General features: G+C 39.8%; 1 protein-coding gene across 8 annotated transcripts in view, besides 1 other annotated feature; it reads right to left on the bottom strand.

Annotated features, from left to right (window-relative positions):
- Nucleotides 1–2,232: 2,232 nt before the first annotated feature.
- The window catches only part of PELI2 (pellino E3 ubiquitin protein ligase family member 2), a 183,114-nt gene continuing 167,119 nt past the window's right edge, over nucleotides 2,233–18,227 (bottom strand). For 7 of the 8 annotated variants that reach the window (XM_011536990.3, NM_021255.3, XM_011536992.4 and 4 more), the window contains 3 exons: nucleotides 15,123–15,320; nucleotides 13,301–13,489; nucleotides 2,233–7,157 (listed from right to left, as the gene is read on the bottom strand). In XM_011536990.3, coding sequence (XP_011535292.1) covers nucleotides 6,591–7,157; nucleotides 13,301–13,489; nucleotides 15,123–15,320 — 954 coding nt within the window. In that variant the 3' untranslated portion in view covers nucleotides 2,233–6,590. Of the gene's footprint in view, nucleotides 7,158–10,401; nucleotides 11,039–13,300; nucleotides 13,490–15,122; nucleotides 15,321–18,227 lie in introns of those variants that run through there. The other variant, XM_005267890.6, reaches the window with a different exon arrangement.
- Nucleotides 6,409–6,908: an enhancer, noted in NCBI's record as "H3K4me1 hESC enhancer chr14:56763567-56764066 (GRCh37/hg19 assembly coordinates)". NCBI's record gives its function as "activates a minimal SCP1, AML or CMV promoter by ChIP-STARR-seq in primed H9 embryonic stem cells {active_cell/tissue: H9 hESC(primed)}" and the evidence as "EXISTENCE:reporter gene assay evidence [ECO:0000049][PMID:30033119]".

The raw sequence follows: 18,227 nt of genomic DNA, 5'->3' as shown, positions 1-18,227 counted from the left end.
TAGATCCTTTAGAATATGAGTTGTCTGGTGGTTTTTTTTTTTTTTTTTTTGGAAGACTTATGTGTATGTTCTCTTTTTTTTAAACAGGTGGTGTTTGGTTATATGATGTTCACTTTATTTAATGACAAGTAAAAGTGTAAGGAAATTGAGCTATGTTGTCACATTGTGGAAAACATCTCAAGGCAGCAAGAAACTGGATAATCCTGAATATTTTTACCTGAAGGACTAAGTAAAGATCATAGCATGGTGGTTTCTAAGACACAAACTCTTCATAATCTAACATCTCTGAATTTAGGATGCATGTTTTCTTTTAATTTTTATTGAGATGTTAATTCACACACTATAAAACTCACCCTTTTAAGTGTATAATTCAGTGGGTTTTGGTCCATTCACATATTCACATAGTTGTATAACCATCACCACTGTTTAGAACATTTTCATCTTCCCCCAGATAAGCCTCATGTCTACTGGTAATCACTCCTTATTCCACTTTCCTTAACTCCTGGCAACCATGAATCTACTCTGTGTCTCTGTGGATTTGCCTATTTCTTACATACAATATGTTACATATAATATGTTGGCTTTTTCAACTTAACATGTTTTCAAGATTCATCTATGTTGTATGTATCAATATCGTACTTCATTTTTATTGTCAAATAATATTTCATTGTATGGATATACCATGTTTTGTCTGTCCATTCTTCAGCTGATGGACATTTATTTCCACTTTTCGGCTATTACCAATAATGCTGCTATGAACGTTCATGTACCTATTTTTGTGTGAACATGTTTTCAATTCTGTGTATATACCTAGCAATGGAATTGCTGGAGTACATGGTAACTGTACATACATTTTACCTCTTGAGGAATGCCAAACTATTTTTTCCAAAGCAGCTGCATCATTTTACAATCCCACCAACAATTTATGAGTGTATTTCAACATCCATGCCAACATTCATTATTGTCTTTTTGACTTTAGCCATCCTAGTGGGTATAACGTGGTATTGTGTGGTTTTAATTTGCACTTCCCTGATGGCTAATTGTCGAGCCATGTTTTTATGTGCTTACTGGCCATTTAATACATTCTTTGGAAAATGTTCTGAAAAGTTATAAACTTTTGATCGTCTTTTAAAGAGGTTGCATTTTGATGAGTTGTAAGAGCCTGTTACATATTTTGGACCCAAGTTCCTTATCAAATATATAATCCCTAAATATTTTCTATTTTGTGAGTTGTCTTTTTACTCTCTTGACAGCGTCCTTCCATGCACAAAACTTTAATTTTGATGAAACCCAATGTTATATATTTTTTCTATTTTTTTCTTGAGACGGAGTTTCGCTCGTCGCCCATGCTGGAGTGCATGGTGCGGTCTCGGCTCACTGCAACCTCTGCCTCCAAGGTTCAAGCGATTCTCCAGCCTCAGCTTCCCAAGCAGCTGGAATTACAGGCGCCCATCACCACGCCCAATTTTTGTATTTTTAGCAGAGACGGGGTTTCACCATGCTGGCCAGGCTGGTCTTGAACTCCTGACCTCAAGTGATCTGCCTGCTTCGGCCTCCCAAAGTGCTGGGATTACAAGCGTGAGCCATTGTGCCTGGCCTTTTTTCTTTTGTTGCTTGTGTTTTTACGTTTGGTATGTCAAAAATCACTGACAAATCTAAGGTTACAAAGGTTTACATTATGTTTTCAAAGGTTTACATTATGTTTTCTTCTAAGAGTTCTATAGTTGTAGCTCTTTGACCCATTTTGATTTAATGTTTGTATGCTGTGTGAGGTGTATTCCTTGCCCAATGGAATGTAACTTACAATTATAACCAGTTGTGATTTTCTATAACACATCTCACAATTCGTGGCATCTTAGATTTGACAAAGTATGGAACACTTATCCCCTGAAATAAAAGCCTATATAAATGTGCATTTTTTTTCTGGAAATGAAAAATCTGTTTCTCTCAATAATACTAAAACTCTTTGAATATCAATGTGATGAGAACAAAATTTGTCATAAATATATACATTTTCTTATGATAGATATATTAGTTTAAGGCTTCAAGGAAGGCTTGAAGGCTTATACACAATCCTTATTATGTTGTTAAAAGTGAATGAAGACTGTCACAAGAGCAGCAATATGGCTGAAATGATCATGACAAAAATCCATTAATTCTACAAGTCAGGTTAAATTCCCCTGGAAGTTAACTTTATTTGACAGTGATGTAATGTCACGAGAAATAGTAATATAGGCACCAAGGAAATTTCTTTAATTAAAAAATGTAGGGGATTTTCAGAATCAAGGTTTAAATATGTATTGTGCAGAATATAAAACAATTAATAAACTCAACAGCTGGAGATTAACTTGGAAGTTAGAGAAGTGAAAAAAATCAGTTCTACTCGTATCAACCTACTAAATGTCCTAATGAACTCAGTGACAACCACAGAATCTGAAGACAATGGCTCACAAACAGGCTGATATCCATTTAATAGTTTTTGAAGATTTTTTCCTGTAAAATGGCTTGTATTTCCACAGGTACAATAGTGAAGAAATAAACTTTTCAATTTGACATGAAATATAAAACAACAATTTTACAAACATATTCATAAAATTTAACTGCTAATAACACAATACATGGTAAATGTGACCATCCCCTTAACTTCTAGACTATTTAATACAGAGAAGCAATCTGTCATCTCAGCTAAAAAGAAACATCTTTCCTTTCATTGAGTTTATTTTTGTTTGTTTAGAAACTGTCAAGCAAAACTGGAAAATACTTATTTTCCTTATCTTCCTCTAGGGATTCTTCATGAGGGCAAAGACTTATTTGAAAGGATGTAAGTTATACTAAAAAGAAAATACTGAACCTTTTTTTTGTGTTACTGCTTCAATGATGCTTAGATTATTTTAAAAAGATGCTGAAGTCGTCTCATTGGTCGCACAGAAGGAGGCGCATCATAACCTAAGCCACAAAGGCTAAACTACTGGGACAGAAGATTGACAGTAAAGGGATGGAGATGGATTTGGCTTAAAATCAAAGTCCTGTGGTTTGTCTATCAGAAATTCCACTGTTATGAGGCAAGGCTGCAAGAAGATAGTTTTTACCCAGCATTAACAATGGTGTAATCACACACCCTTTCAAGCACATCCAAAGAACAGAATGGCTTTAAAAAAGAAAAGAAGTGAAACAAAACCATAGAACTGCAGGTAACAATTCTACAACCTATATTACACTTCAATTAAGCAGAAAACTCTCGTAAGTGTCCACACAATACTGAGCTCCCAAATAACAGAGGTTTGAGTTTTTCCATGAAAAAAAAAAAAAAGACATTGAAGCTTTATGAACTAAAGAGTTCTCCTCAAGTTTCCCAATACAGTAAATGTAATAACTTAAAATAATTTCCCTATTGGTACTGGAAAATAAATTCTACTACAATCATGTTTATGCCAGTTTCTGACATATTTCTGCATCCAGATTCATTAGTCTCCTTAATGGAGCCCATCATTTTTCCAATGGCTTTCTCCTTTCTTTAAACCCTAACCCTGAAATTCTATAACCAGTTATATCACGTGGCTTCCCTGAGGCACAAAGGTACCAAAGTCTATAATTAACTATCGAGGAATGATAAATATGTTCTCTATTTATATTAACAGATTTTAATTCTTTTGGGCCACAGTTGGGAGAAAAAAATCCAGAAACCTTAATACTCTGCAGGGTGAACTGTAGCCCTTTTTGCTAAAAGCTGAACCAAATAAGGGAAATGTTGAGAGTTGCAGCATGCATGACCCGGCAGCACCGATTATTAATAAAAAATTCCGGACTAGAAAAATACTCAGAGTTGTACTCCATCCACTCTGAATCTTTTTTTTTGTAGTAAACGACATAAACAACTGAAAAATATTTCTATGGGAATACATCACTGGGACTTTTACTTCTGGAAAGCTACTTGCAAAAGGCATTAGAGTCAGGCCAAGACAACTAATTGGTCTGCAATTTCCTTGTGTATACACATGGGGGAGTGGGGCTAGTCCTTTAAAGTGATGGCAAGACATAAAAAAAGAAGTGACCTTGGAGAAATTACTTTTCTGAATTGCGTTTCTCCACCTTGGTGAGCTACAGAGTTCTTTATTTTCACAAACTAACTCAACTGTGAAAAAAAAAATCTCCTTAGTCAAAATTGTAAAGGGATCTTCCTACAAGTGGCCAAGAAGAGCCTGGTGTCCTTTTTGCTGATTTGCCACCTCTCTGCAGTTCCTTAGGCAGGGTGGGCGGGACCTGACTTTGGAAGCCAAAGGAAAAGATGTGGAGCCCATGGAGGGCGGTTCACTGTTACCCCTTCCAAGAGCTTGGAAATTATTTCCCAAATTTCAACTTATATTTAAGCTGAATTTACTAAAAGTCAGAAACTTTTAGTTAGACATATGCCCAACTACGGGACGTGTCCAACTTGGAAGGTAACTTCATTTTGGGGGATATGTCACGTTGCAGAATGACTAGACTTATAAACAGGACTTGAAATGGAAAATTATGATATACCTAACTCTCTGGAAAAATATCTTTTTTTCTTGGTAGGTAAAATCTGGCCTTTCTGGATGCAAGACCATTTAGCTTACAAGATGGTTTTAGGGCATCAAGAATCCTTCAACCACTTTCTAGGCATACAGCAAGAAAAGAGAACGAGTGCCTCCTTTGTCATTCTTTGGGGCCCAAAGAATTACAGGCTGAAAAGACATACTCTATCAGTGAAAGCTAATCATCAGAGACTCTGGCTAAATCAAAAGGCATTCAATATATTATTCTAGGCAAGTCCATTTTTTTCTTTCATTTTCTGTCTGCAGGTAGAGTAAGCTATACAGAATACAGCAAGCTATCTGTAAGAGGACTGTTGTCATCGATTTTCACACCATTTAAAATTTACCCAAACAAAACCAAAACCAAAAATGTCTCATCCTAAACAATGATCTCCACTGAAAAATAAAGCTATATTAAAACTGAGAGGCTGAACTTTAAACATATTACATCAAATTAAGCAGCAGCAATCAAGAGTAATATTATCGTATCACTTTAAGGAAAAGCGTATTCAAATAGGTTAGAACGACTGAAAATAGGCAAAATATTTGCCAGTAGGCAAAATACGAAAAAACCAATTCAAGTATGGATATAGTACATTAGAATCATATAAATTACGTATATGTACAAAGGTTAAAAAAAAGTCACCCAAATCTGCAATGGTCAAATTAAGAGAACATTAGTTTAAATAAATACTTATTTTATCTCAGCCAGCTTCTACCAGTCTCATGTCCTAAAGGATCTTTACCTTCTAGGAGCAGTGATACGATCGATGCCAAGCATCCAAGAATTATTAATCAAAATGAAATGAAAGTAACAGGAATGGTGGAGCTCCTATGAAATTCTCATTTAATTATTCCTCAGCAACACTCATTTGCTCTCTCAAAAGCAGGAATTTTGAATTATCTCTGCAGATGTACCACTTGGTGTTGTGTATATCTAATCATCCCACTTAAATTTAGTTTGATTCGCAAACATTTTCAAAACTTACTGGGCTCCTTAAGCTGCAAGGGAAGGTGACAGATGGTGAAAAGGGAGTGCACAACAATGACTATATCATTGTGATTGGTTGGCTTTCTTAACAAAGGAAAAAAAAAAACCCCAAGCTTTATGAAACCTCAAGTGGTTTTAAAAAGTAAAAGCTTATTTTTAATCATTCTTAAATCTTAATTCAGTCAGCAAATAAACATGGTAGTATAGTACCCAGACCATGTCTACTACTGTAATTACCCTCAGTTAATGAGTTTTTAAGAGCTGATGTATTTTAATCAACCAAACAGTTCTGGCCGTGCAAGATGAGTATCGGGGCAAATCATATTAGGCAGAAATAACAAAAGACAGGCTAAAAAGTTATGGAAAATTGTTTGTGAAGTCCCATGTATTTGATGAATGAATATCTAAAGTAAATTCCACTGAAGTTAAAAAAAAAAAAAGCCCACAAGTTATGAATATTCTCTCCCCCAACAAGTCAGAAAAATAAATCAGAAAAAGCCCCAGATTTCAAAACCACCTGTGCCTAAGGCCATCTGTCCACCAGTCACACTGTACAGAGCCGCCCCTCTGCTGTCTGGTCAGGTTTGAGCCACGATCAAGTATTTCTAGACACTGTGCGCCCTTCGCGTAACACCTACACCACACTGCACTGAAGTGAACTTCATGAGCCCACACTTTTGAATAAATTTCTTCTACATCTGTAAAATATGATTTAAAGTCTTGTCCAAGATTACAAAAAAAAAAAAACTTGGTTAAAAACCCAAGGTTAAAAATAGAAGCATAGCATTTTAAATCCAATTATTACAAAGATATTATGGTTTAATCAAGCAGACTTCAATGACGACGCTGCTGTTTTGAGCATGCAACACACCACTGGTATCTGTTACACTCCTGCCATGTTTCATCACCATGTCCCCTCTCTTTATTTCCAGCCCCTGTCACCCTCCTCTGATAAACAGCATTACAAAAAGGTAAAATCTAGAGTTAGTGGCAAAATCTTCACAGTAACCTGTTAATAAAGTCGTAGATGGCTGTCAAGGGCGTCAGTCAATTGGACCTTGGAAAATTAATTTGATGCAGTTTTGCTCCCCAACCAGCTGTGTAGCACAGAAAGGGCAAGCAGCGTGAAATGCATGAGTTCCATGAGGCAACGGGATCTGAGACCAGTATTTTGCAGACTTCTCCGAGCACACGTGTCCACAGGGAGTGAAAGCATGAGTTGGCGGTCCTGCGTCTACATAAAATCCTGCCTCACAGCCAAGCCAGAGAGGCACATAGGGGCCCACAGTCCTGCACATGGGACACTCCCTCTCGTTGGCCTCCGTGTCACTCCGATGGCCCCAGTTGTGGTACCCGTGCACGTGGCCACAACTGAGATATGCCCAGGGCTGCTTCTCCTCCACCACCTCTTTCCTGTTGATGCTGGGGAAGGCCAGGGTGTTGAGCCCCACAGGACACTGAGGCCGGGCGGCGTTAATCTCCTGCCGGAGGGCTTCTATGTGCTTCTGAGTTGGAGTATGAAAAAGCCCATCTGCTGTTCTCCAGAGGAGAGTGGCCCCACACAGGTCAATGAGGGAGCCGTCCTGCAGGACGTTGGTCTCACTTTCCACCTACAACAAGTTTGAGACACATGCCTTTTAAAAGCAAAATCAAGCAAATCACTCCAAGATTCTTTCCTCTCAGAACAAGCAAAAAAATATTTGAAGATAACACAGGGAAGCAATTTATCCCACAAAAACAGAACTGGGGGAGTAACCTATCCTCCCCGAGCCTCATCTTCCTCATCTGATCACTGGATATGATACATATATGCCGTATGTACAAAGCCCTGAGCACAGTATGTATACCTAGCTTTACATGTTCAATTACTGTAGTGGTTATTTTAATGAACTTCACAAATCTCCTAAGATTTTCTTTTTAACTCCTTAAGTCAGTAACACAATGACTCACTGATCCCATAGGATGAGAGATGTCCTACCAGTCCATCCAGTGGAGACTCATCCTCATCTTGATGACAGCCAATCCAGAAGATCTTGCGGGGGGCCTGCAGTCATTACTGGAGGGTCCAAAGCACTCCTGGTGACCCTTAGCTTCCTCCACCTTGAATCTATCTTTCATCATTCATTTTTAAGGTTTGAAGCTAAACAGTTCAACATGAGCCTTCATTTTTAGAAGGAGGCCTGTGCTATGCACTAAGTGCTTATAAGACTGATTAACAGCTGACAAGCAGCAGCTAGGCGTGGTCAGCAAGAACGTGACCGCTGCCTCCACATGCCAGATGCATGCTAAGCCTTGGAGGTACCAAAGGCCAATAAAACCTCTTCCCCATCCTGCTGAGACTTGCTCTTCAGTAGTGGAAGGCAGACATGCCCAGAGCTCAGAGTGCATGAAGGCCAGTAAAGCACTGTTCAAGGCCACAAATTTATAGCAGCCAGGAGTGTGGACTCTGGGTTTGAACCCTGGCTCTCCCACTTATTAGCTGTATGACGCTGTGCAGATTACTTAAACTCCTCGTGCCTCAGTTTCCCCTTGTTTAAACTTTAGAAAAGGTGGTTGTGTTAGATAAGTAAATGCAAAGAGTTCTTAGAGAACACTGTCTGGTACGCAGTCAACACTCTGTAAATACCTGCTACTATTACTCTGATGATGACAGACGGTCAGAAATGGTTTCTAAAAGGTTTTTCTTTAACAGAGATTTGAGAAAGATGTCAGGCCTCAGTAGGGAGGATAGCAGGAAGGCACAGCAGGGAGAAGGAGGAGAGGCCAAATGGCATATGCACCAAGGGAGCAACAGGGAGTTTGATGAGGCTGTGCAGCCAGGCTGAACAAGGATGGACGCAGTTCAGGGCACTGGGTGGGGGGGGACGAGAGACCCAGGCGGGAGAGGGAGGCTGGCATCCATGCCCAGAGGGAGTTGGTAGGGGGTTTAGGTAACTATAAAAGAACTGATTGACCTTTCAAAAAGGTCACTTCTAGAACTTTGGAGGGTGGGTTGGAGGGGTAAAGATGAGCTGTGAAGGAGGCAACTGGTGCTCTCTCTGGGTAGAGAGGGTGAGTACACCTCAACAAAGACAGTCTCAGTGGCAAGAGACAGAGGCACAGGGACTAGAGAGAAAGAAATTAGACTCGATGGCACTCAGCTCTTGATCTGAGCAAGAGCCTCTTACGTGCCTGGTTGTCTGGGTAGAACAGTGCTTTCCACAGACAGAAACACAGGAGAAATGGCAGATGAGGGAGTAAATCCTGATTTCACCACTTAGTAGCTCTGTGGTCTTGAGTCAACGACTTAACCTCTCTGGGCCTGGCTTCCACATCCATTAAGCTGGAATAATGCCAATACATGTCTTATAGGATTGTTGTGAGAACTAAATAAGTTCAACAGCAAGAGCCAGGCCAGTTCAGTTTTGGGTGTGCTGAATGTGAGGGTGTGCAGAGTATCGGTGGTGGTAATGCATACAAGGCACGTGTGATGCAGCGTTGGAGACAGATCAGGCTCGAAGAAACATATCTGGGATGTTATCCGCACCTAGGTGAAGCTGTGGGAATGGATGCCACTGCCCAGGCAGGGTCCCAGGGAGGGCAGAGAGGACTGAGGACAGAGCCAGGAGCTGGGGTGGAGGAAAAGAACCATGTAAGGGAAAGAGAGAGGTATGGGAAGCACCAGAAATTTTGTCAATCTTTGGTTCAAAGGACTTTGGCGGCTTTCTGCTGCCCTTGGGGTACAGCCCAAGCTTCTTAACACACTTAAAAGGTCACTCCCAATGCAGTCACTCGACTTCTCCTGCTGTAGCTCTTCCCTTCCTAACTGGAAACCAGGACTGTCCTGCGATGAGCTGCAAGGAGCTGGAGTCCATGAGCGCACTACCTCGGACTGCCCACAGGCAGGTGCAAGAGCAACCTCTGCCTAGAATACTCCACTCCAGTACACCCTGCTCCAGCTGAGCCCTGGTTGGCAAACTCCTACTTGTCATCCAGGTCTCACCTGGATGTCACTTTGCCCTGGACATTTTCCTTGTCATGAAGAAATCAGCCCTTCCCAAGTATTAGTTTTTAGAAAAAGTTAAGGTCCCAACAAATGATAAATCTTAATACTGTACAGGACATACACTGTGACTCCTTTCAGACAGCCTGAAGTTTGCTGATGCTCCTTCCCCGCCCCACCACCATACCGAGCATCCCATGGTCTCCTCTCCTCTAACTGGTGACGTGAGGCTCCTGACCTTGCTGACCACAGGCAATTCTCAGAGGAGGCCTCATTGCAGGATAAAACTGTGTCTAAAGGATCACCCTGATGTGGTAAGAAGCTGAGGTATGGTGGTGGCCTAGCCTCTGGCTGTGGAACAACCCCCCTTTCCTCCTGCAGGGCAGTTCTTGGTAAACAACAAAGTCTTATTATAAATCTGGGGTGTATGGTTTTTTATTTTCCACATACCCTTGACTCCCACATCTGGGGTAGGTGTCCTGTGGAGGGAAAGTACCTTCGGTACCTTCTCATGACTGTGCTCATCACACAGTATCTGCTGATCTGCTGCCTAGTCTGTGACCTCCTCCAGACCATGCAATTAGAGGGCAGAGCGTGGACTTGGTGTTTTCTGCCACATCCCCAGTTTGCAACCCCTGCTTAGTAATAACAACCAGCCAGTCATGGGGCATTACTGTGTCCAGCACTGTTCCAATCCTTTCCAGCTACTGAATTTAGTTCTCACAACAGTCCTATTAGACATGTATTAATATTATTCCAGTTTGGGAGATGTGGAAGCCAGGCACAGAGAGGTTACGTCGTCAATTCAATACCACAGAACTAAGTGGTGAAACCAGGACTTGAACCTGGTGGCCTGATTTAGCAATCATTAGTAGGCATGAATTCAGATTTTATTTTTTAAATTCTACCACAAAAGAAAAGCTATGAGCAGGCACAGGAATTGACAGTATTGTGGAAGCAAGAGACATTTGGCCTCTACCATGGCAACTAATGGCCCCTACATAGCAACTATCTAAGCACAGGGTAGTGAATTCAACCCCCCATCCACCACTTCTTATTAGCAAGTGACTTAACCTTTTAAAGCCCAGGTTTCCTCATCTGTAGACGGACACAATAACAACACTGACTTCACGGGTTATTTTAAGCAACACTGGAAAGACAATTAATGTAATGCACCTGCTAGAGCCTGACCATAGCTACGCTATGGTTATTTTTATAATTTCACCTAAAATTAGGTATGCAATCAACTTAACTGAATTTACTTAATTTTATACAAAGCCAGTTTAGTTTAATAAAATACTTCATATATAATTTAATTAAATACTCAAGGCCCTCCTGGAGTAATATTATAAATGTTACCATATGTTATCATTAACTAGCTAAAAAAGGAGGGCACAATTCAAACTCCATTCACCTATTTATTCAGGGAGTTAAAGGCCTGAAAAGACATTTCCCCCATATTTAATTAATTTTGTTGATTAGTACACAGTTCTGAGGTTCCATCATTTGCTGTAATAATGAAAAACAACGGTGATTTCTTGTTACACATACATTAGTATATTGATTCATATCAAATGCTCAGTATGATATTAATACATAATCTTCCACCAGCACTAGCTCCACAATGTGACTACTATTGTTTTAACAAATATTTTAGACTTTTAGCAGCTCACTTTATTTCTCATATTTCTGTATTAGACTGCAAATGACAAGTACTGCCAGAGACTGTCTCCAAAATCTAACCTCCAGATAAACATAATTTATATCAAATGCTACCAGCAACATGTACAGGACCAATGAGTCATGAATTGAAACAGAAGTTCAAAGAGTCAGTAAGCTTTCCTCGAAGACAGACAAAAACTGTTCTCCAGAGGTTAACAAGAGGAGATTGCAGGAAGAATGTATCCGTTCAGTGTCCCATAAGCCCAAGATCAGGCTGATAGAAGCCTTTGTAACTGGCCAGGTTAATCGGATGCTATCAAATAGGACAGCACAATTTTACATAGTTCTCAGTGTCGCTTATAGGGACTAACTTCAAAAATAGCCTGTATATTTAATACAACTCATTAATACAAGCCATTTTTGGAGTTCGTTCTTTTCAGTCGCACTGTAAAATTCTCCAGCACACATAGCAGCCTGAGAAGGGTCATTACACAATAACCAGAGTGGACGAGAAACTCATCCTGTGATATGCCCTCCTGGACAAAGGCGCTCCCCACGGACTCCAGCGTATGCTTTATACTCACCCAGGGAGGCAAATGCTCAGGTGTAAACCATCCCTGGCTCCCCACAACATGGTACTGAGTAGTATTAGGTGTCCAGGCTCTCCATCAGGGAGACCTGAGTTTGAATCCCACTGGCTGCCACCTGCTAACTCTGTGACACTGGGCAATCTTTAACTTCACGCCACATCTTCCTCATCCATGAAATGGGGATGACTCTACTTCCCTAAGAGGGCTGCTGTGCAGATGAAGTGAGCTCATGTCGGAAATGTTAACGCAGAGTCTGCACCCAGCAACCATTTACTGACTTCTTACTCTTGCTGTTATAATGATGAATAACCAGTTTGGCCAATCTAGGTCAGTTTTGTATAAAACTATCCAGTGATCAGAAACAAAAGATTATTTAGAAAAACTGCTTTCACATTTCCTCCTTTGTTTACAATTTCTTGAAAACATTCATACAAAATTTATTGAATTTGCTTTTTTTTTAGAAAATGCTTCTCATATTTATTCAGCCATGGTGCACTGTAAGACGCATACGCTGTGCCTGAAGCTGAAAAATGGTGTAAAATAGAAATAAAAATAACCATTCCCTAAACACAAACATCCAGTAGAGAACAGCAAATGAGGTCAGTGAAACAGCCCCCAACTTCTTTTTCCATCTTAGACATTTTTGGTGATGATCTTTCTCTCTGACAAGTGCTAGGTCAAATCCTCTATTCTGTATACATTTTATTCTGTGGGAGTTTTGAAGAACTCCTTCTTTTCTAGCTTCTAGAAAAAGACATTTGTTCTCTCTCGTTCTAGCTTCTACCTAGCAAATTAAGAAAAGTACAGGAATGGACAGCTTACTAAAAATCAGTGGCTGTGCTACATGGCTATGGCAAGATCAGAAACCCAAAGTTCTATATTTAAGGTATTATAATTATTCTCCAAGAAAGAATGGGTTTAAAAAAACTGCTTTAGGGCATGGGGATAAGTGGTGATATTTATAGGAAAATATTAACATGCCAGGTCAATGCAGTATATAAATCATTTCAAGTAAACAGTTGTAACTATGATTTTGGTGGACAGTATAGAGAATTCTGCCTTAATATATAGGAATTCAAAGGGAAAACCAGCTGACTTATTTTTTACTTCCAGAAAGTCTAGTAAATAATTCCTTAATGCATAATTTTTACTAATTGTTTTTGGACTGCTCAAACGTTTTCCAAATCAATAAAGTTTTACACTAAAAATAAGTTTCTTCTCCTTAAAGTGAATTTAAGTAGATTTTTGTGGTGAGGTATATAATAAAAGATAATGCTCTTCAGGTGGTAAGGAGCAAAACACAATTTACTCCCACTATGGGAAAAGTTGAACCCCTGAAGGAGATAAGGCCATTTCCCTCTTGATTTCAGGGGCTTGTGGAATTCTGCTTCTCCTGAGTTACAGTACATGGCGCTTGGACCTGCACAAAGGTTCTGAACATCAGGGGAGGAAAATGATAGCCTTCGAGTTAGGCTTGAGTAGTTTCGTACTTCACACTTGCAGAGTGAAGCACACTCACCAGCTTTCCTCGTTGCTGGGCCGACCTGGTTTCTCGCAAGGTGTACACATCTCCACAGACAGAGATCTCGCGCCAGACCCCGGGCTGGGACTCCTCGGTGAAGCCCCCTCGTGGATGCATCACCAGGACGCCATTAGTAGTGAGCCCATCCATGTGGCCGTCGGGGTTTTTCCACTTTGCTGCCTTTTCCTGGAGAGAACACAGCAGAACAGAAAAAGTAGGTTAAGATGATGTTGAAATGGAAAGGATTCTGGAATTTCTTTAATACATTGCATAGAGGCAGAGGGGAGGAAGGTGATGAATTTTCATTTTCTATTTAAAGCTAATAATCACAAGGATAACATATGCCATCCTTTCGACAATATAAAAGAAGTGCTGAATGGATGAATGACTTATCACTGGACACACATCATAGTTCTCAAGAACTTGCAAAAAATCGAGGCCTGGGCTTCTCCCTCTAAGATTCTTTTTACCTTCCCCACAACCCCATGAGATTCCAGGAATCTGGTGTGTTTTCTCTTTTCAGTTATACTTATGCCATGCTCCTATCCTGTTATCTAAAAGTACTTTCTATGTTCTCACTGTCAGGATAGAGAAGAGAAAGGACAGTCATAAAGAAAGACCTTTTATTAAAGCTAGAAAATTCCAAAAATGTTAAGCCAACAAGTCGGGGTCATTATGTTTTCATAATAATCACCGTTTAAATTCTCAAAGGTAGATGGCGCATGTAGCTTGACATGACGACAGGACAGACACTCTTGGGTGCTTGTGCCACAGCTCTTCCCTTCAGCTTTCTTGGTGACAGAGCTCAGCTACTGTTCATGTGGCTGGGGCGGGGGTTGGGGGGTGGTGGGGAATCCTGATTAACCCAACATGACACTCCCAGCCCTCTTCCCAATAGCTGGTTTACAGGTGGGCACAGCACATGACTGGGCTCTGACTGATGACACATGATATCTTCTTGGAGGCTTCCAAGAAAGGTGTCTGTGCTCTAAGAAGAGACAAGGAAGAAACAGTGCTTCTGCCACCCTCTTCTCTGGCTGGAAGTTGTCATGTGGCAGGGGACATCTGGAAGTGCAGGAGCCAGCTCTCACCCACAAGAAGACCTCCCAGGAAGAGGCTGGTGCACCACGGGAGGCAGAAGGCAAGACAGAGAGAACCCAGTGCACTGGATGTCACAGAACCACTGAACCACCAACCCTGGAGCTGGCCTTCATCGGCACTTCTTATGTGGGAATAGTACATTTTCACTGATTTTAGATCATTTTGAGTGGGTTTTTTCCTGCAAAAATATCCTAATTCAAAAGGAAACTATGTTAAACCTGGATATTCACTAAAACTTCTGGGGTTTACAAGGAAACCCTATAAGGGCAGGGATTCAAGTCTGTGTTGTTCTCTGTAATCCCATAACTAAAACACCCAGTATGGAACATAGCAAACACTCATAAAACATTTTTGAATGAGTGAATCACTAACATTTTCCTCTAAGCCCTAATGATCTAAATTTGGCCCATTTATTTTTCTCTCTGAAATAAACCTCTTCGTTGCCGTAAATACATTATGGACAATGTTATAGGCATACTTTAAAAAAAGTACTTACTGTAAATATTACAATATAAAAAATATAATGAATAACAAGCAATGCTTATTAATGTTCAGATTTTTAATAACAAGTTTCTCAAACTGGCCACCTGAAAACTAAAATCTCAAAATCTCACTAGAGGCAACATACAAAGCCAATTTTTTTTTGCTCCAATTAAATGTTCCATATCATAATCACAAGCATTTTTCTAGAAATCGTGTACTTCTTGACAGTACTTACTCCAAGAAATATGTTTTTGGAAGAGTCAAATCCGGCGGCGAATATCCGTGCTGTGTAAGGTTCATTCCTGTCGCACACGATCCTGCAGGCGAACCTGGATATGGTGCTCTGTGTGATCTGGGCTTCGTCCGTGTTCTGGCTGCCAGAAATCGTGTCTGTGACAACGAAGTCGATAGGGCTTTCTGTTGATCTGCCCACCTAAGTAAATCAAATGTACTCGTGATTCACTTGGAAAATAGCAGGGTGCCGTATTTTATTCACAAGGAAAAAGCATTCAGGATTCCTTTAACATTCACTATCCTTGTTCTGAGGGTTAGAATTTAATGCAAGATTTTCATTCGTGCTCCTTTTCCTATTTAACTAGGGAAGATATTAGGGTAACCAAATATTAGAGATACCTATTTTTAATTTTATTGTATTGTGCTAAGAATATAATATGAGATGTATCCTCTGAAATATTTGAGCACATAATGCAGTCATTGTTGACTACAGGCAGAACGGTGCACAGCAACTCTCTAGAACTTACTCATCTTGCTTAACTCACTTTATGCCACTCACTAGTTCATTAGATTTTAAGTATTGAGAAAAAGCTCAATTAAGAGGACAGGAGTAGATCTTTGGCCACTCATCAGATTTTATCTCTTGGATTAATGTTCTATCCCAACAACTGTAACTCTGATTCTGAAGTTGCCAATGGGAGGAATGCAGAGGCCTGTGATGTATGCACATAAAGTTCCCAAAAGTCAATTTCCAAGGCATTTTTATTCTGGTCTCAAAGTTCTATCTACAAACTAGGCAATGTAATACATTTTTCATCCAAATGAAGAAAGTAGAAAAAAAATCTTGTATCACTTAGCTCAGCTTGCTTCCTGGAACAATATTACATTTCTTTTGTAAATCTCATATATACGTTCTCATGCACAGACTATCTCTCTAAAACCAGCAGACCACAGACATCTATTTTCTTTTGTTTTTTTATCACCCTTAATTTCTTGCCCTAATGAAATGTGCCTGGAATGAACTAAACTGCTGGTTTCATTGAAACTTAACAATTTGAACAGATGCATATTGCCTAGATATATGCATTTCAGGTTTTGAAAACACATAACTTGTTAAAAAATGCAATGTAAAATCTAAATTAGATGTATTATAAAATCATATAATTCATCCTTCTAAAGCTGCAAAATCTCCTCTCTGCTAGATTCATTTAAAAACTGGGTAACTTGGAAACTCTACTGATTCAGACTGCTTTAATTTTGTTAAACATTTTTTAACAAGAAAATTAGAAAAGTAATGAAGACTTATTGCAAAATATTTAACAAATGGAGAAAAGTATAAAGGCGAAAACAAAGCCAACTTCAAACTTAGGCGTAAACCTGTCCTGAGCCTCTATTCCAGTGAAGTTTAGGAGTAAAATGTGATAAATTCTAGAATTTCCCAGTCATCTCACCAAACCTGGAGCCTCATAGCGACAGTCACTGTCACAAGATTTGTCCATCTCCATGGAAGAGGGCAATGACTTTTCAAGCTCTAAGTTCAAAGCCAAAACCACTCTGCTGGTTTGAATGTTTCATAACTGTTCCTTCTTGTGTACAGAAATTACTCTTTTCTAGAAGGGCCACATTCTGAGTTCATCCAAATGTATTAAATTAATGTCTTGATGAAGTAATTGAAATTGACTGTAAAAAGAGGAAATTTTATTCTAACTGGAACAGCCTGCTAGGATCAATGATTTTAAGTCATGACACTTATCTTGATCGGTCATACACATGACTTATCAGTTTGCTTCCACTTAAATCTAACCTCTAGAGTGCTGGTAAAATTTTATACTTTATGACACAAGCCTCATGTTGCTTTTTCCAGGAAAACAAAACAACAACAACAACAAAAAAAACAACAAAAAAACAAAACTAAGTCACTTTCCTGCTGAAAAATCACTCAATGTGGAAAACTTGCAGCCTGCCCTTTCTTTTGACTACTGGATCAACTCTACATTATTTTAAAGGCAGTCATGCACACAAGCCAAGATGCTTTTGAATTTCATCTGATATTCATATAGCACGCAAGCCAGGGTGCTTCTGAATTTCATGTGATAGTCACAGAATGCCGGTAGTCATATAACTAGCTACAGTGATAACTTTGCTCCATTCAGCATGTTAAATTTTATATATATAAGAAAAGTTTGGGTTTGCCTGGATGTCAGCTGAAGCCAGGACAGGTAAGATGGTATCAAAGCATCTAGAAGGGCCTCACCTTTTTCTCACCTCCCTCAACCAATTCCTCCCATCTCCCTGCATCAATCACTTTATTTTCTGACTTCCCTCCTGGGATAAGGATGAAATATTGTTGCTCCCATCTAAAAGCAATCTTTCCATTGACACTTGGTATTCCAATGTTCTCCCTTTCCCAAGGATTTTGCTCCTAATATTATCTCCTCTCTTTCTTGAGTCACCAATTTCTCCTTTTATACTGGATCATGCCATCAGCTTTCACACACGTTCTGGAGCTTCTCAAACTCTGTGGTTAAAGGACCAGTATAGTTGCTGTTGTTGTTTTAAATTTTAACCCATCACTGATGCCTTTTAAACATACAATAAAAATGAGTACTTGAGAAATGATCATCTGCTTGGATGTTTCCGCAATGCCAAACTGTCATAAAAGTTTCCTCTCAATTTGTATGCTTATCTCATTCTGTATTTTAACAAACATTTCACTGCTGGGCAGAGGGAGTGCAGTTTGAGTAGCCCTGCTCTGGCGTAGTCTCCCACCTTTAAAAACGCTTTCCTTCACCTGCAAGCAAGCCCCAGGCTCCAGCCCTGTTTCTCTGATTCACTTAACAGCAAGACTTCTTGGAAAACCTGTTATCTCCTCCACTTCCTCACCCATATCTTTAGCTTCCTTCTTCCTCAACCCACTCCAATTGAGCTTCCTTCCCCACAACTCTACTGAAACCACGCATGCTAAGATTCCAAAAATCAATATATTGCTAAATCCAGGGCTTATGCTGAGCCAGCATATGCCGGTCCATCTCTACCTGGTACTAAAATAATGAAACTTTCAGGCCAGTTGGTAAATAGTCCCCCCTTCCCTTTTCTTTCTGTTCTC

The sequence above is a fragment of the Homo sapiens genome, chromosome 14, assembly GCF_000001405.40.
Source record: "Homo sapiens chromosome 14, GRCh38.p14 Primary Assembly".
NCBI lineage: Eukaryota > Metazoa > Chordata > Mammalia > Primates > Hominidae > Homo > Homo sapiens.
Note: the sequence above shows the minus strand (reverse complement) of the source record. Positions and strands in the feature narration are given on the sequence as shown.